The sequence below is a fragment of the Homo sapiens genome, chromosome 6, assembly GCF_000001405.40.
Source record: "Homo sapiens chromosome 6, GRCh38.p14 Primary Assembly".
Classification (NCBI taxonomy): Eukaryota; Metazoa; Chordata; class Mammalia; order Primates; family Hominidae; genus Homo; species Homo sapiens.
Genome location: NC_000006.12, coordinates 69696137 through 69712113, shown reverse-complemented (window position 1 = coordinate 69712113; position 15977 = coordinate 69696137). Strand labels below are relative to the sequence as shown.

The 15977-nt window shown below is 32.7% G+C and overlaps 1 protein-coding gene and 1 pseudogene across 4 annotated transcripts in view; both read left to right on the top strand.

Annotated features, from left to right (window-relative positions):
• LMBRD1 (LMBR1 domain containing 1) overlaps window positions 1-15977 on the top strand; it is a 123001-nt gene that overhangs the window by 84897 nt on the left and 22127 nt on the right. For all 4 annotated transcript variants that reach the window (NM_018368.4, NM_001367272.1, NM_001367271.1 and 1 more), the window contains exons 10-14: window positions 10161-10225; window positions 10569-10671; window positions 11245-11349; window positions 12922-13071; window positions 14473-14551. In NM_018368.4, the coding sequence (NP_060838.3) occupies window positions 10161-10225; window positions 10569-10671; window positions 11245-11349; window positions 12922-13071; window positions 14473-14551 (502 nt within the window). The remainder of the gene's footprint in view (window positions 1-10160; window positions 10226-10568; window positions 10672-11244; window positions 11350-12921; window positions 13072-14472; window positions 14552-15977) is intronic.
• Window positions 5938-7124, top strand: NPM1P37 (nucleophosmin 1 pseudogene 37; annotated as a pseudogene).

Here is a 15977-nt window from a genome sequence, read left to right as displayed (position 1 = left end):
GACTAACTTGAAGTTAGGCAGAATGAAGCTGGAAAGTGGGTTTGTGCTAAATTTTAAAAGAAGTGGTTCAACATGGACAGACAGAGGGGAACAACACACTCTGGGGCCTTTCAGAGGGTGGAGGGTGGGAGGAAGGAGAGGATCGGGTAGAATAACTAATGGGTTCCTTGCTTAGTACCTGGGTGATGAAATAATCTGTACAACAACCCCCATGACGCAAGTTTACCTATGTAGCAAACCTGCATTTGTACCCGTGAACTTAAATGTTAAAAAAAAGAAAAAGAAATGGTTCAAAGAACCATTCAAAGATGAGTCAGTCAGGTTCAATTTGGGTGCTGCTTTCTCCACCTTTTATAATTAGAAAGAAATGCACTAACTGCTCACCCTAAAAAGCGCCTGGTTTGAAAGAGATTTTTAAAAATATACCATAATCAGTTAATTTTTCTATATAATCACTTTTTAAATCTTCTGTTAGAATAAATTTTTAAAAAATTCATCCCAGTTTTTTTTACCCCAAGGTGATTTGTCTTCATAGCACTGAAAGTATGATGAAACTCTCTCCAGCTTTATTTTAATCCTAAATTGTTTTTAGGTTTTTATAAATATTTATAATCTGGTCTCTAACATCAGCTGCCTTCTTTTATATATGCTATGTTCCATTTCACCAAACATATGTTTAGAAGGATTTTCAAATCAACTTTACTAAGTGTACAGACTGGTTTTGCCCAATATAGATAGATAGGGCATCCACATCACTCGAAAAATCTACCTCATGCCCTCTCTTGCTCCCCTGAGCTCAGACTTTAGGTAATTATTGATGTCCTTTCTATCATTAGAGGTCAGTTTTATGTGTTCTGGAATTTTAAATAAATGGAATCATAGAGTGTACAATCTTTTGTCTGATGGCTTCTTTGGCATGGCACAGTTTTTGAGATTTGCTCATGTTATTATTTAATACTATTTTTTTGCCCAGTGGTTTATTCAGTTTTATTGTTCGGTGGTATTACAGTGTGTGTCTGTATCACAATTTGTTTATTCACTCACCCTTGTTGGTGGAAATTTGGGTTGTTTCTGGTTTGAGACTATAATGAATAATGCTAATATGAACACTTTTGTACAAACCTTTGTGTAGATGTGCTTTCATTCATTTCTTTTGGATAAATACTTGAGTAGAATTTTTGGATCTAACGTTTAATATGTTTATAAGAAACTGCCGAAGTTGTTTTCCAAAAGGGTTACAACCGTTTTGCATTCCCACAGCAATAAGAGATTGCCCATTGTTTCACATTCTTGTCAACTCTTATGTAGTGTCTGTAAGAGTTATTCTTATGAATATGCAGTAGCATCTCACAGTTTTGCTTTGCATTTCATTGGTGACTAAATGATATTTAGCATCTTTTTGTATGCTTATTGGCTATTTTCTGTAAAATGTGTGTTTAAATCTCTTGGCCATTTTCTAAATTAGGGTTTTCTATTATGAGTGAGATACAAGCGTTCATTATATAGTCTGGATCTAGCACTTTGTCACATATATGTATTGTATCGTCTCCTAGTTCGTGGCAAGTTTTCTTTATGTTTTTGGTTTCTTAACTGTAATTCAGATGTTTCTTAAATTTTGATGAATATTAATTTATATGTCTATTTTTGGTTCATATTTTTGTGTCCTCAGAAATGTTTGTCTATCCTAAGGTAAGAAACATTTTCTTCTAGAAATTTTGTAGATTTACATCTTATGCTTGGGATCATGACCCCATTTAAGTTACTTTTGTGCTATGGTATGACTTAAGGGTTAAGGTTCATTTTATTTTCTATGTGGATATCCAATTGTTCCAGCATAATTTTTTTTTCAAGACTATCCTTTGCTCATTGGCTTTCCTTGGAAGTTTTGTCAAATAAATTGATTGTAGTGTAAGTGTGGGTCTATTTCTGGAATCTCCATTCTACTCATTGATCTATATATGTCTTTATGCTAATACTTGGTTAATAGAGCTTTATAATCTGCCATGAAGTTAGGTAGTATAAATTATTCAGTTTTATTTTCCTTTTTCAAAATCATTTTGGCTTTGCCAAATCCTTTGCATTTTCATATAAATTTAAGAATCAATTTATAATTCCACAAAACATCCACTAGGATATCTATTGGGATTACTTTCACTCTTATAGATAAATTTGGGGGAGAATTGATATATTCTATCCATGAACATGATATCTATTTATTTACATCTTAAATTTCTCTCAGGAATGTTTTGTAGTGTTCAAAGTAGAGGTCTTAAAAATATCTTGATAAATTTACCTCTAAGTATTTTTTATAGTCTTGCAAATTATGTTGTTTAATTTCAGTTTTTAATATTTGTTGTTAGTATGTAGAAATTTGTCTTTGTATCTTACTCTTATATCCTGCAACCTGGTTAAATTATTAGTTCTAGTACCTTCATTGTAGCTTCCTTAGGAGGTTTTCTTTTATACATGATCATATCAGCTGCTAAAAGACAGTTTTACTTCTTCCTTATAAGATTTGTAATTGCTTTTATTTTTTACTTTTCTAATTTCACTGGCTGAAACCTCCAGTACAGTTATTCTTTTTGTTAGTAAATGTGTCATTTCTGAATATTGATCTAAATTTTTACCCATCTTTCCATGTCTGATCCTAAGTTAGGAATAGGGTAATAGGCATGCCTGAAGGAATCTCTAGGGGTACAAACTGATCGTTATGTAATTGAGGGTTTAATGTGTATTATGAGGAGATAAACACTGCTTTTTTTCCTTAAATGAGATATGAAGGTTGCTGTTCATTTATCTCTGTGTTTGTCTACAATTGGTGTAATTCAGAAATAGGAAGCCAAATTTTCAATTAATGTTTCTTTTCTTTTTTTTTTTTTGAGATGGAGTTTTGCTCTTGTTGCCCAGGCTGGAGTCCAATGGCGCAATCTCGGCTCACCGCAAGCTCCGCCTCCCAGGTTCAAGCGATTCTCCTGCCTCAGCCTCCTAAGTAGCTGGGATTACAGACATGTGCCACCACGCCTGGCTAATTTTGTATTTTTAGTAGAGACGGGGTTTCTCCATGTTGGTCAGGCTGGTCTGGAACTCCTGACCTCAGGCGATCTGCCTGCCTCAGCCTCCCAAAGTGCTGGGATTACAGGCTTGAGCCACTACGCCCAGCTCATTTAGTGTTTCTTAAACATTAACATTCAAGTCAAACTAGAGGAAGAAAGTGGATCTAGGTCCACTTGCCCTTCTATACAGCTCTCTCTGTGTATACTGAAGGTAATTTAAGACCTTTGAGAAGTTCCTGACATTAAATTTCTTAGAAGTTATGTTCTATCTCAAAATTTTGTGCCAGTGTTACCTTTTATTCTCTACTATAATTCATGTTTGTCTTATTATGAAATGAATTAAATTTAAATTTTTGCAAATGTAAAAAAAGTTACAATTTTTAAAATTAGTAGAGGATTTTTTTTTTTGTTCCCATGAAGATGCCTGTTGATCTTGTGATTGCCATGCATTTCCCTAGCATATACATAACTTATTTCAGAAGCATAGGCTTTGTGGTCACCTAATCCTGGGTTTGAGTCCTTGCTCTGCTCCTCACCAACTCTGTAACTTCTTACTTAAGCTTTTTGAACCTCACTTTTCTCATTCTTAAAATGGAATTATATACTTACTTTATTTTGTTGTGGGAATTAAATGAAATAATGTATGCAGTGCAGTTCCTTTTGATGTAAACAGCTCAGAAAATTGCAGCTGCTGCTGTTATAGTTCTATATGTAGGATTTTTGAAGTTCTTAAATCCTACCATGGAAATGAAGGGAGATTAGTTTTGTGCTGAAGACAATTATAAAAATAAGCACCTAATTAGAATAAGTTAATAGCTCTTTAAAACAGCCTTTATATATAATATTGAACACATTTCTAAGCCTACAGTCTGATGTTCATTAAATACTTGAATAAACTCTTCCCTGACAGAAGAGTATACTTTGAGCTTATACAGCTAATTGGCCTGGGTAACTTCTAGATCATTAGGTTTTAAATGTAACTTGAGATTTTACTATATATACTTCTTATGCTTATACACAAAATTATAAATTTATGTTTGTAATTATATTGCATATATTTTTTAGATTTTTTTATTGTGGTAAAATATATATGCCTCAGTCTATGATTTGGAATATTTTTAGGTGTATATTCAATAGCAGTAAGTACATTCACAATGTTGTGCAACCATCATCACTATTCATTTTCTGATCTTTTTCAAATGGAAACAATGTATTTATTAAACGGTAATTCTCCATTCCCTAGTGATTTCTCTTTTGCTCTCCATCAGTTTGCCTATTCTAGGTACCTGGAGTAAAGAACACAGGAAATATAACATACACAAAATTATCTAACAGTAAGATATTATTGAGACTAAATATGTCCATAATATCAACAAATGTGAATACACCTAACTCACCATTAGAAGAAAATTTGTATTTTCTTCAGAAAGAAGATAGATCCAATGTATGCTATTTAAAAGAGACACACCTAAAACAGTAGTTCAAAAGGACTAAAAATAAACGGTGTTTAAAGACATACTAGACAAATGGAAACAATAAGGAAACAATGATCCTATTAGACAAAATAGAATTCAAGCCAAAATACACCAATTGTAACAAAGAAGGACACATTTTATGGTAGATACAGTGCCTTTTTCTTCACCTAATGATGCCCTCATCCAGGAAACCTGTGACATTAAGTGGCAAAGGAACCTTACAGATGTAATTAAGGTTATAAACCTTAAGATATAAAGATTATCCTGGGTTATTCAGGTGGGCTCAGTCTAATAACATGAACCTTTAAAAGCAGAGAACTTTCTGGATTAGAGTCAGAGAGAAGTGATAAAGGGTACATCAAAGATATTCAAAGTGCGAGAATGACCTGACTTGCCATGACTGGTTTGAAGATGGAGGGGGAAATGTGACAAGGAATGCAAGCAGCCTTAAGAAACGGAGAGATGTTCCCAAATGATAGCTAACAAAGAAAGGAAAACTCCAACTCTACAACCTTAAGGAACTGAATGCCAGCCAACAATCTGAAAGAGCATGAAAGTATTTCTTTCCCAGAGTCTCCAGAAGGGAACATAGCCCTACTCTTGGTTTTGGGCCTGTGAGACCTCGAGCAGAGAATCCACTGAGCTGCACTGTGCACAGACAGCTGACCCACAGAAACTGAGATAATAAGTAGATGCTGTTTCAGGCCACTAAGTTTGTGGTGGTGTGTCATTGGCAGCAGTAGAAAATTTACACACTTTTAAATATGAAAAGCCACAATTTAGAATGAAGATATAATAACTGTGGTTATCTATGTACCAGTTAGCACAGCAGCCACCTTTATGAAAGCAAAAACTATGGGAGATTCCAGAAGGTAGAGATTGAAATATAATAGTAATAGGAGAATAACAGCATTCTCAGGGTAAAACATTTCAAGTGGATGAAATAGAGTAAGAATATAGAAGACCTAATAATCAGTAAGGTATAACTTACAACTTTTAAACTTTACATCTAGATAATAGAAAATAACCTTTTCTCCAAATGTACAGGGAACACAAAAGTTGATCGTATTATTAATTGTATCCTGAAGAAAGTATCAGGAAGTTTCAAACAGTAGATATATTACAAACAATTTTTCTCTGATTGCAGTGCGTTAAAACTAGAAATTGTAACAAAATCAATAGATTAACATACTTTTCACTTGAAAATTAACCTTATATTCAGCAACTTTTGAGTGAAAAGAAAGGGGAAATAAATTACAGAATTTCTAAAAGTTAATGATAATTGAAACATATTAGAGTCTGTGGGATACCTTTAAAATAGAGATCAGTCCCTGATGTGATTCTGTCCTGTGCGGCTGTTCTCTTGAGCTGTGGTTGTTTATCTCCATCTGCCTTCTCTCCCACCTAAGTGTGTGCTGCCACCTGATGGAAGATTTGATGGACATGGACATAAACCCCCGGAGGCCCTGGAACTATCTATTTGGTTGTGAACTACAGGCTGACAAAGATTATCACTTTAAGGTGGATAATGATGAAAATGAGCACTAGTTATCTTTAAGAACGGTCAGTTTAGGGGCTGATGGAAAAGATGAATTACACATCGTTGAAGCAGAGGCAGTGTATTACAAAGGCAGTCCAATTAAAGTAACACTGGCAACTTTGAAAATGTCTGTACAGCCAACAATTTTCCTTAGGGGCTTTGAAATAACACCACCAGTGGTCTTACGGTTGAAGTGTGGTTCAGGGCCAGTGCATATTAGTGAACAACATTTAGTAGCAGTGGAGGAAGATGCAGTCAGTAGATGAAGAGGAGGAGGATGTGAAACTCTTAAGTATATCTGGAAAGTGGTCTGTCCCTGGAGGTGGTAGCAAGGTTCCACAGAAAAAAGTAAAACTTGCTACTGATGAAGATGATGATGATGATGATAATGATGAAGATGGTGATAATGATGATTTTGATAATAAGGAAACTGAAGAAAAATCACCAGTGAAGAAATCTATATGAGATACTCCAGCCAAAAATGCACAAAAGCCAAATCAGAATGGAAAAGACTCAAAACCATCATCAATACCAAGATCAAACGGGTAAGAATCCTTCAAAAAACAGGAAAAATCTCCTAAAACACCAAAAGGACCTAGTTCTGTAGAAGACATTAAAGCAAAAATGCAAGCAAGTATAGAAAAAGGTGGTTCTCTTCCCAAAGTGGAAGCCAAGTTCATCAATTATATGAAGAATTGCTTCCGGATGACTGACCAGGAGGCTATTCAAGATCTCTGGCAGTTGAGGAAGTCTCTTTAAGAAAATAGTTTAAACAATTTGTTAAAATTTTTCTGTCTTACTTCATTTCTGTAGCAGTTGATATCTGGCTGTCCTTTTTATAATGCAGAGTGGGAACTTTCCCTACCATGTTTGATAAATGTTGTCCAGGCTCCATTGCCAATAATGTGTTGTCCAAAATGCCTGTTTAGTTTTTAAAGACGGAACTCCACCCTTTGCTTGGTCTTAAGTATGTATGGAATGTTATGATAGGACATAGTAGTAGTGGTGGTCAGACATGGAAATGGTGGGGAGACAAAAATATGCATGTGAAATAAAACTCAGTATTTTAATAAATTTAAAAAAAAGAGAAATTAATAGCCTGAAACACACTTACCAGTAAAAGTGGAAAAAAAAAAAACAAATGTCCAATCCCAAAAAAGCTAGCAGAAGAACAAAAGGAATCACACAGAAGAAAATAAGATAAAAGCAGAAAGCAGTGAGGTAGGGAGAAGAAAAACAGATGAATTACAACAGTCCCTCTATATCTGCAGATTCTGCATTTGCAGATTCAACCACCCATGGATTGAAAATAGAGTCCTAATTTAGTACTAATAAAGTAATGATTTCTGCATATGCATATGTTTTAATTAATAGACAGACCACTACCTAACTTCATTAAAAGGAACCAGGGCTGCTTGGAGAAATGTCTGATTCTAGGACTGTGGCTGGGAAAGCACTTAATAAGCTTGGAACATCTGATGCCAGAAAGTAAGAAGTGTTTAAGAGAATAGTGGGCGTATAATAAAAGGAACCAGTTTGTAGGGGCTCCTATTGCCTAAATCTGGGACCATTTAGGTATCAAAATAATGATAATAACAGATGATAACTAATTGAATAAAATATAAGTCTATATTGACATAAGTAAATACATTAGTAAATGATGGGGAAGGGAAACCTCTTCCCTACAGTAGAATTCCAACAAATAAATATAGAAGCAATTAGAAAACCAGCATTTGACAAATACCACAGAAAAAAACGTATTGTTTCTGGGAAGAGGCATCAGTGGATACAAAACTTGAAATTAAAAGTTTGGTGAGAACAAGATTTTGCATATTCTGAAAGTATCTCACCACAAAACATATTAATTACAGAGGGGGAAATAATAATTGTACAATGGAGAAACCTGACTGAAACCACCTTACTACATGATTTAAGTTAAGCTCATCAGTAATGGGGCAAATAGACATGACTGTGCCACTTGATATGATGTATTGAGAAGGACTCAACACTTCTCTGTCTGTGTCATTTCTGGAAAAAAGCATAATCTAAATATAATCATGAGAAAATAGGCAATCCAAATTGAGAGACATTCTACAAATTAACTTCCCTGGACTCTACAAAATGTCAAGGTTATGAAAGACCTCGTTCAAGAGAAATTGATATATAATAATTAAGACTTGTTCAAAAGAGAATGATAAGGTAACATGTTAAAATTTGGAGAATATGAGTGAAGTGTATAGTGGAATTCTTTGTATTGTTTTTGCATATGTCTTATTCCATTTTTATTGATGTTACCTCTATAGTTTAATTTTTATTTCAAAATTGGCATTATAGCTAGAGTATAATATGTAGCTTTTAGGTCAACCCAATGTGGTCATCACTGACATGATTTTGTAACTACTAATTTAAGTTCTAGTATTTAAGTATGTATAGTTTTCTTGGTCTTTATAAAATATTTGTATTTTTTACATTTGTTCTGTGTTCTGTTAAGTCACTGATTAAGCAGTCTAACTCTGGGTCAGTCATCTCTACAGATTTGGAAGATAGCTAAGAGGGTTTTTTTTTTAATTTTAAATTTTTTTTTTTTTTTGCCAAAATGGATACCAAAGAGAGGGAATCTTAACTTCAAATGCTGTTTCTATATCATGTTCTCCTACTACTAATTGGCATTTCATAGTTATACTGCTACAAACTATTTTTTGTTAACAGCTATTAGGAAGGAATGTTTTTCACTTGAGAATCCTAAGTATAAGTCTGTGTTGCTTTTCAGTTCACCACAGTACCAAATATAGATGCCTGAATCCAGTAGAAAAAAAAGTATAACTCCTTTATACCCTCTACTAATGAGCAGTTGTTACTATAAAGGAGTCACTTCAAAATCTTTTGCAATGAAACCCTTTTTAAATAATGAATTCTCTTGCGGAATCCTAGCATGAAAAATAGTACATGCAATATCACTCTCTTTTCAAGAGATGACTATAGCCTTCTTGGACCCCTCTCGTCAACTCTCTCCTTCCCAGTGAGCCCCAAAGGCACCCAGCCATAACTGAAGAATTCCCCAGAGCACAGGTCCAAAATTACTTCCAAAAATCATCTTTTCAGGCTAGGTAGTTTCATGTGTTACTTCTTTTATTCTCTCAGGATTCTAAAATTTACTTCCACAGTCCTGTGAAATAAGATGAAAAAATCTCCCTACCATTCATGATTTCATAACATTCATTGATCTATTTATATCAATTCCAGTTAAAGGAGGAGCCCAACACACTTAACTGTGCTTACTGGGACTCTTCTTTTTGGATCTGGTCTTGACAACTCTTTAGCCCAGTTGTCCCCGCAACTTGGGGAAGATTTCGGGGAAAAAGAGCTTAGGTTTTTGCTAACATAGATTTCAACTCTTTTATATTCTGAAACTTTTCATTAGAGACTCAGTTATAATATTTTTCTTCCTCTTTTTCTACCATCTTTAATATAAAGTTCATACAATTGGGAGAAATATGTTCCACTACTTACAGTGCTTAGGACATTTTTTCCACAGAAACATTGTTTTACCTGACAATTTTTTCAGTGTTGTTAGTACTCTGTTTCAGGAATAGTATCACTTGTATAGGCTTTTATGGATTGTAATATAATTTAACCACTATATATATCATTTATATATATTATTACTTCTATGGGAAAATGTTCTAAATTTTCTATTTTAACTAACAGGGTAATATAACCTGCATTTCATGGTTTTGGGGTGTGTGTGTGTGTGTGTGTCTGTGTGTTAGTCATAATGTACTTTTCAGTCTCATTTCAGTGTAATAGAATAAAGACTTTGTATTTGGTCTAACAAAGAGTTTCATTTGTTTACTTATTAGTGAAGACTTTTCAAATGCTTTGTCTCTTTTATGTACATGTTCTCAATCAAATAGTCTCATAATGAAAATTCAGGTATAAATGCCTGGAATTGTATACTAAGTTAAAATGTATCTTAGATTGTTTTTGTTAGATCATTGTCATATTCTAGCAACTCATATTGAATATAATGATTTTGTGCTTTTAATATCAACTTTTAGAACTATATTTTAATGAATATATTTTTGCTTTTAGATCGTCTGGGGAATATTTTTCATCTTAGTTGCATTGCTGTTTGTAATTTCTCTCTTCTTGTCAAAGTAAGTACAGTAGACACATTTTCTAAAGCACTTATACAAATTCTATGATAATATACATTTTGTTGCTGAATGCCATTAGTGTAGGCTGTTCATCTTAAGTAGCTTTTTTACTTGAAGTGTTCTATAGCATTAACTCAAAGAATGGCTAAAACGTCCAATAATAGAGTGTTTCTTTATTCTCCATCAATTGAACAATAGCTGTGAGATATTTAAGTGAGGTTTAATTTGTTATCCATTGTTTTCTTTGACTCAGGTGTATTTGCATGCTTAAATTATATTTTTTCTAAATTTGCTGAAAATTTGATAGTATAACATAAATTTCATTCTTTGTAATTTTTTTTAGTTTAGATAAAGCTCTTCATTCAGCTGGAATAGATTCTGGTTTCATAATTTTTGGAGCTAACCTGAGTAATCCACTGAATATGCTTTTGCCTTTACTACAAACAGTAAGTAAAATATCAATCATTTTATACTGTAGCTGCTAGAGTATAAAATGCTAGAGTCTAGCAAACATTCTGACATCCTGTTGCACATAAAATTATTATGCTAAAAACCTATGAATAGTTTGACATATGCTTATATTATTTTCTAGTTTTACTTTTTATTTGCCTGTAATTTACACACTGACATGTTGCTTTAAATATCATATTGATATATTCCTGGACTTTTATGTTATACATAATTTGACTTGGGATATATTATATAACATGAGGTGACCTTCTCCAAATTATTTTTGGTATTAATATTTAATCAAGTCTTTTATCTCATAGATAAATGCAATTTTAGTTTAATTTGCTTTAGTATTTTTCTTAAGATAATGGTATTAAAAATTTTGGTAATAGTTTGGTACTTGTTAGTTTTTTGAGGATTTTTTTTTAAGCACAGTAGCCTAATCTAAATCAAGGTTGATACTGTAAACATTTGCCGGATGAGAATAATGAAGTTTTTAGCTTATTTTATATGACTGTTAGAGTGCTTATAGTTTATATGTTAAATTTAATTTCATCTTTTTTTTTCAGGTTTTCCCTCTTGATTATATTCTTATAACAATTATTATTATGTACTTTATTTTTACTTCAATGGCAGGAATTCGAAATATTGGCATATGGTTCTTTTGGATTAGAGTAAGTATATATTACAGTATTATTTTTTTCTCATCATTTTGTGTGTGATCTCCATAATTACAAATTATCTTAGATTTAGAATATAGTAGCTGTATCTTTATACCACAAGTGAGAGAAATACTAGCCTTTTCACTTCATGTTGACATAAAAGTACTTTTTATCTAGAGCAGTGGTTCTTAAATGGGGGTGATTTTGCCCCCCGGAAACATTTGGCAATATCTAGAGATATTTTTAGTTGTTATAATTGGGGAATGCTAGTGGCATGTAGTGGGTAGGGGCCAGAGATTCTATTAAAAATCCTGTAGTGCATAGGGCAGACTTACCTAGCCTAAAATGTCAATAGTTCCATGGTTGAGAAACCCTGGTCCAAAAGTTATATTATTTCTTAGTAGAAACACATTCGAATATAATAGATACACTGAAGCTCAAAAGATAGCCCTCCCTATTAGTAAAGATTACCATATCATTGGTTATTTTCTTCAAATGCTTATTTTGAGATAAATTAACAATTTTAAAATGAAGCTGTATCAGGTAGACACTACTTCCAGCTGTGGGTAAAAGAGAACTCAGTTAAATAGTGGCTTGAACTAATAAAAGATTTCTTGCTATGGAAAAAAAGAATCTAGTATTGCTTCAGTAGCTCAAAAAGTCAGATCCAATATCTCTGTAATTCTTTGAGTATCTCTGTCATGATTGTAGTATGGCTGCTGCAGTTCCTTTTATCCTGTTCATATTCTGTGAAGAAAAAGGTAGTTAGGAGAAAGGGGTAAACAATTATATCAATAAAACAAGACTTTTACAGAAATCCCTAACAGACTTCTGCTTTCCTTTTCATGTTTAATATTTTATCACATGGCCACTACTGGCTGTGAAAGAACCTGGGAAATGTAAATTTATGAATGATCTTATTGTCATCCCATCTAGAACTGGAGTCTGTACTACAATAGTACAATTGTGGTGTACTACAATCTAGTAATAAAACAGGGAGGTGATACCTAAGTTGCTAAAATAAAAGCATTTGCTATGCTATTGAAATGAAGCAAGTTACCTGGTTCCTTATATTTCAGTTACCATGTGTTTTCATTTCCCTTTAGTATAGATAAATGTGAAAAGCTCTTTAGTAAGATTATCAGAGTTTTTCATAAACTAATTTTTATAGCAAAGTATAAGGAGGTCACGAGTATTTCATAGAAATAGATGTTTATAAACACATGACATTGTCTATTCTTATGCAGTATTATAAAAAATTATATAAAACCATAGTATATTACTGATACTTGTAGTTTAAATTCATACTTCTAATCTTTAGATAGAACTAGAGGTAGTTCACAGTTAGCTCCATGAACTTCTAACAGATGCTGTTACACAATAAGTTTAGAAGATTTCTCTGGAAATAGACCATGTGAATAATCTTAAAATTATTTGGGATGATTAAGAACTTTTAGTATTTACTTTGGAAGAAAAATAATGGTTGATTGAACTGTGTAAATCATTTCCCATAACACAAGAAAAGGATTTAATGCTTTATAAATGAAATATATTGCTGAAATTTTGTCACTCTTTTCTTTCCAGTTATATAAAATCAGAAGAGGTAGAACCAGGCCCCAAGCACTCCTTTTTCTCTGCATGATACTTCTGCTTATTGTCCTTCACACTAGCTACATGATTTATAGTCTTGCTCCCCAATATGTTATGTATGGAAGCCAAAATTACTTAATAGAGGTAAGTGAAATATTTGAAACTTGATTATTTTGATATTTTAAAGATAGTGATATTTAAAATGAAATTTTAATTGTGATGGTTAGCATAAGATATTAGCTCATCAGATTATATTTAATATTGCTAAAACTGGTTTTTTATTTCTATTTTTAGCATATTTATATTTGTTTCATACTGTTGTTTTTTTGAAACAGCACACAGAATTTCATTACAGTAGTTTCTTAAATGGGTCCCATGGTGCTAAGCTACTGAGCTTTACCTTAGTACTTTATTAAAACTCAAAATACTTCCTCTAAAATAACGTTTTAACGAATTTTAATAATATGGCTCCCAAAGAACATTTTGGTGAGCACAGCATGTCCGTTCATTGGCACTATGAATCCCCTAGAAGAGGCTTTATAAAAATTTTATATGTAGATAACTATACATTCTTTTAACATGATGGGTATCCTCATATGCTGATTTATTGGTGGTGGTGATCTCTCAAAAGCGAACTGTGGCTTTTAGTTTTAATAGAACAGTAAGTTTGGATTTTCTGACGATTCAAAATATTCTGACCATATCTGATTCAAACTTTGTTTAGTTTTTTTCCGTTTTTAAAAATACCTTTTGCTCTACTTCTTAACTGTTCAAACCATATTTATGTTTCAGGGCCTGATCAAGCATTGCTTTAGTGGAGTCTTTCATGATTAAATCAGTGTGCCCAGATCATTTCTTTTTTATCCTGTTCTTCCTTCATTCTTTCTTTACTTTAACATGCAATTAGAAAGAAAAATCTAACGAACCTATCAACCCTCAATCAGTACCATCCATAATATTGGTGAGTGTTAAAAGGCTATTTCATTGAAAAATATTTAGTTATAATGTAGGTGAAACAGATAAAGCACTGATCATGATGGAGGTACATGAATGACCTGAGTTTGGGAAACAGCATCCTGGAAAACCACCTGAACCATATTTCTCACTTCTTATACCTTTTTATTCTCTTCTTGCCTCATCCCCTTCACCTACCTCACTAGGTCATGCTTATTAAACATCCTTCTGTGAAGGAATGAAGGAAGATTATGCTTTTGCTTGGACAAAAGATATTCTTTGCATGTTCCACAGTCTGAAAATAGCATTCCTTTCAGATGCTATACTTTGTATTAAAAATGGAATTTGTTTGTTCTGGGAAGAAGCCATGTTGTTCAACACAGGACCTAAAGGATTATTGCAAAAAGCCTTAATGTTTAATTTACCATAATTATTTTTCTTCTAAGAGCAATGTTGCACAAAATTTACATTTTGGAATGTTAGATAGATGTAGTTAGTATACAGAGTATACAGTTCATAGTGATTACTTTTTAAATCCAAATGTATTTATTAATGCGGTTTTTATATTTTAACTGTATTTTTATCTTTCAGACTAATATAACTTCTGATAATCATAAAGGCAATTCAACCCTTTCTGTGCCAAAGAGATGTGATGCAGATGCTCCTGAAGGTAAAAACAGCTTGTTTTAGAACTTACAACTTTTTAGGAAAAGAATTTCCTGGCATTTTGCTGTGTTAATCATTTGATGCATTTGTTTTACTACGTGGTAAGAAGGAAACTTTTAGCAAGTAGAGGTTGGTAAATCTCTTCAGTAGAATTTCTTGTTGATGAAAGGATTTGCATTAGAGAAAGAACCATTAAAATTACTTAGGAAGTAATTTTTTATTTATTTTATTTATTTATCACATTTACTAGTATAATAAGAAATCACTCTTAAGTGATTTTTTTTCCTTAAAAACATAAAGGAGTTTGGTGGAATCTACAGTTCTTAGTACCAAGACCAAAAGTACTTATGACCTAGAACAATTTTTAATTCATCCATGTCTGGTTATTTAATTTAATAATAATAGTGTTAGTTATAGTAGCAGTTAACTTTAAAAACATACAGTTGTTTTCAAGGCATTGTGTTAATTATTATATGTGTACTCTGACAAAAATTCTGTGCTCTTAACCTCTGTGTATTTTTAGAGTATCTTTTTTTTTTTTCTATGTGAGTTGTTTAGGTGATTTTTTTTTCTTTGAATGTTATAGTATTCTTATTAAGGATTTCTGATTAAGGATTCCTGATTTATTCTTTCAAAATTTGTAAAAGTGTTTTCTAATCTTGCCTTCAACATGCTTTTATTTTATGGTAAAGTAATGTGTCAAATATAGTGTATTTCTGCGTGAATCATTCATGAATACCATTATGAAAAACACAAATTCTGAGTTTTTTTATAGCAGGGTCAACTATGTAATGTAATAGAGTATTAGGAACAAGTATAAGGTACAGGGATAGGCCAGAGGAAGACGCAATTAACTCTGCCTTGTGGGGATCACTGTGGAGTAGTAGTCAAAAAAGAAACGTTTCAGGAAAGAGATAGCAGAGCTACATTTTAAGGTTATCTGGTATGCACATCAAGGGAAGGCTGTTCTAGGCAGAAGAATAAAGTGTACAAACAATTACCTTAAATTGCACAGGCGTGTGTTCAAGAGAGTTTGAAACATTGGTTTTGTTTAGGGGTTGGAGGGAGGAAGGCAGAGTCATGAGTCATATCATAAAAGGCTTTAGAAAGTGACTAAAGAGGTAATGAAGTGTTTGAAGTAAGAAAGTAGAAGTTATGATCTGATTTATTTTTAGTAAGTTAATTATAGCAGTTATATAGATAATGGATTTGAGAAATTGAGACCAGACTATGGAAATCACTTAGGGGAGGGAGAGCTATCTAAAATAATCCAAGAGAGTTGAAAGCCTGAACTAAACAGTGGTCATGAGGGTGTGAAATAAAGCAATTTAAGAAGTAAATTGAAAGAATTTCTGATTGGTTGTAGAGCAATGGTGAGAGAAACAGAAGATTCTAGCATGACACTCTAGTTACTGAGTACTTTGATTAAT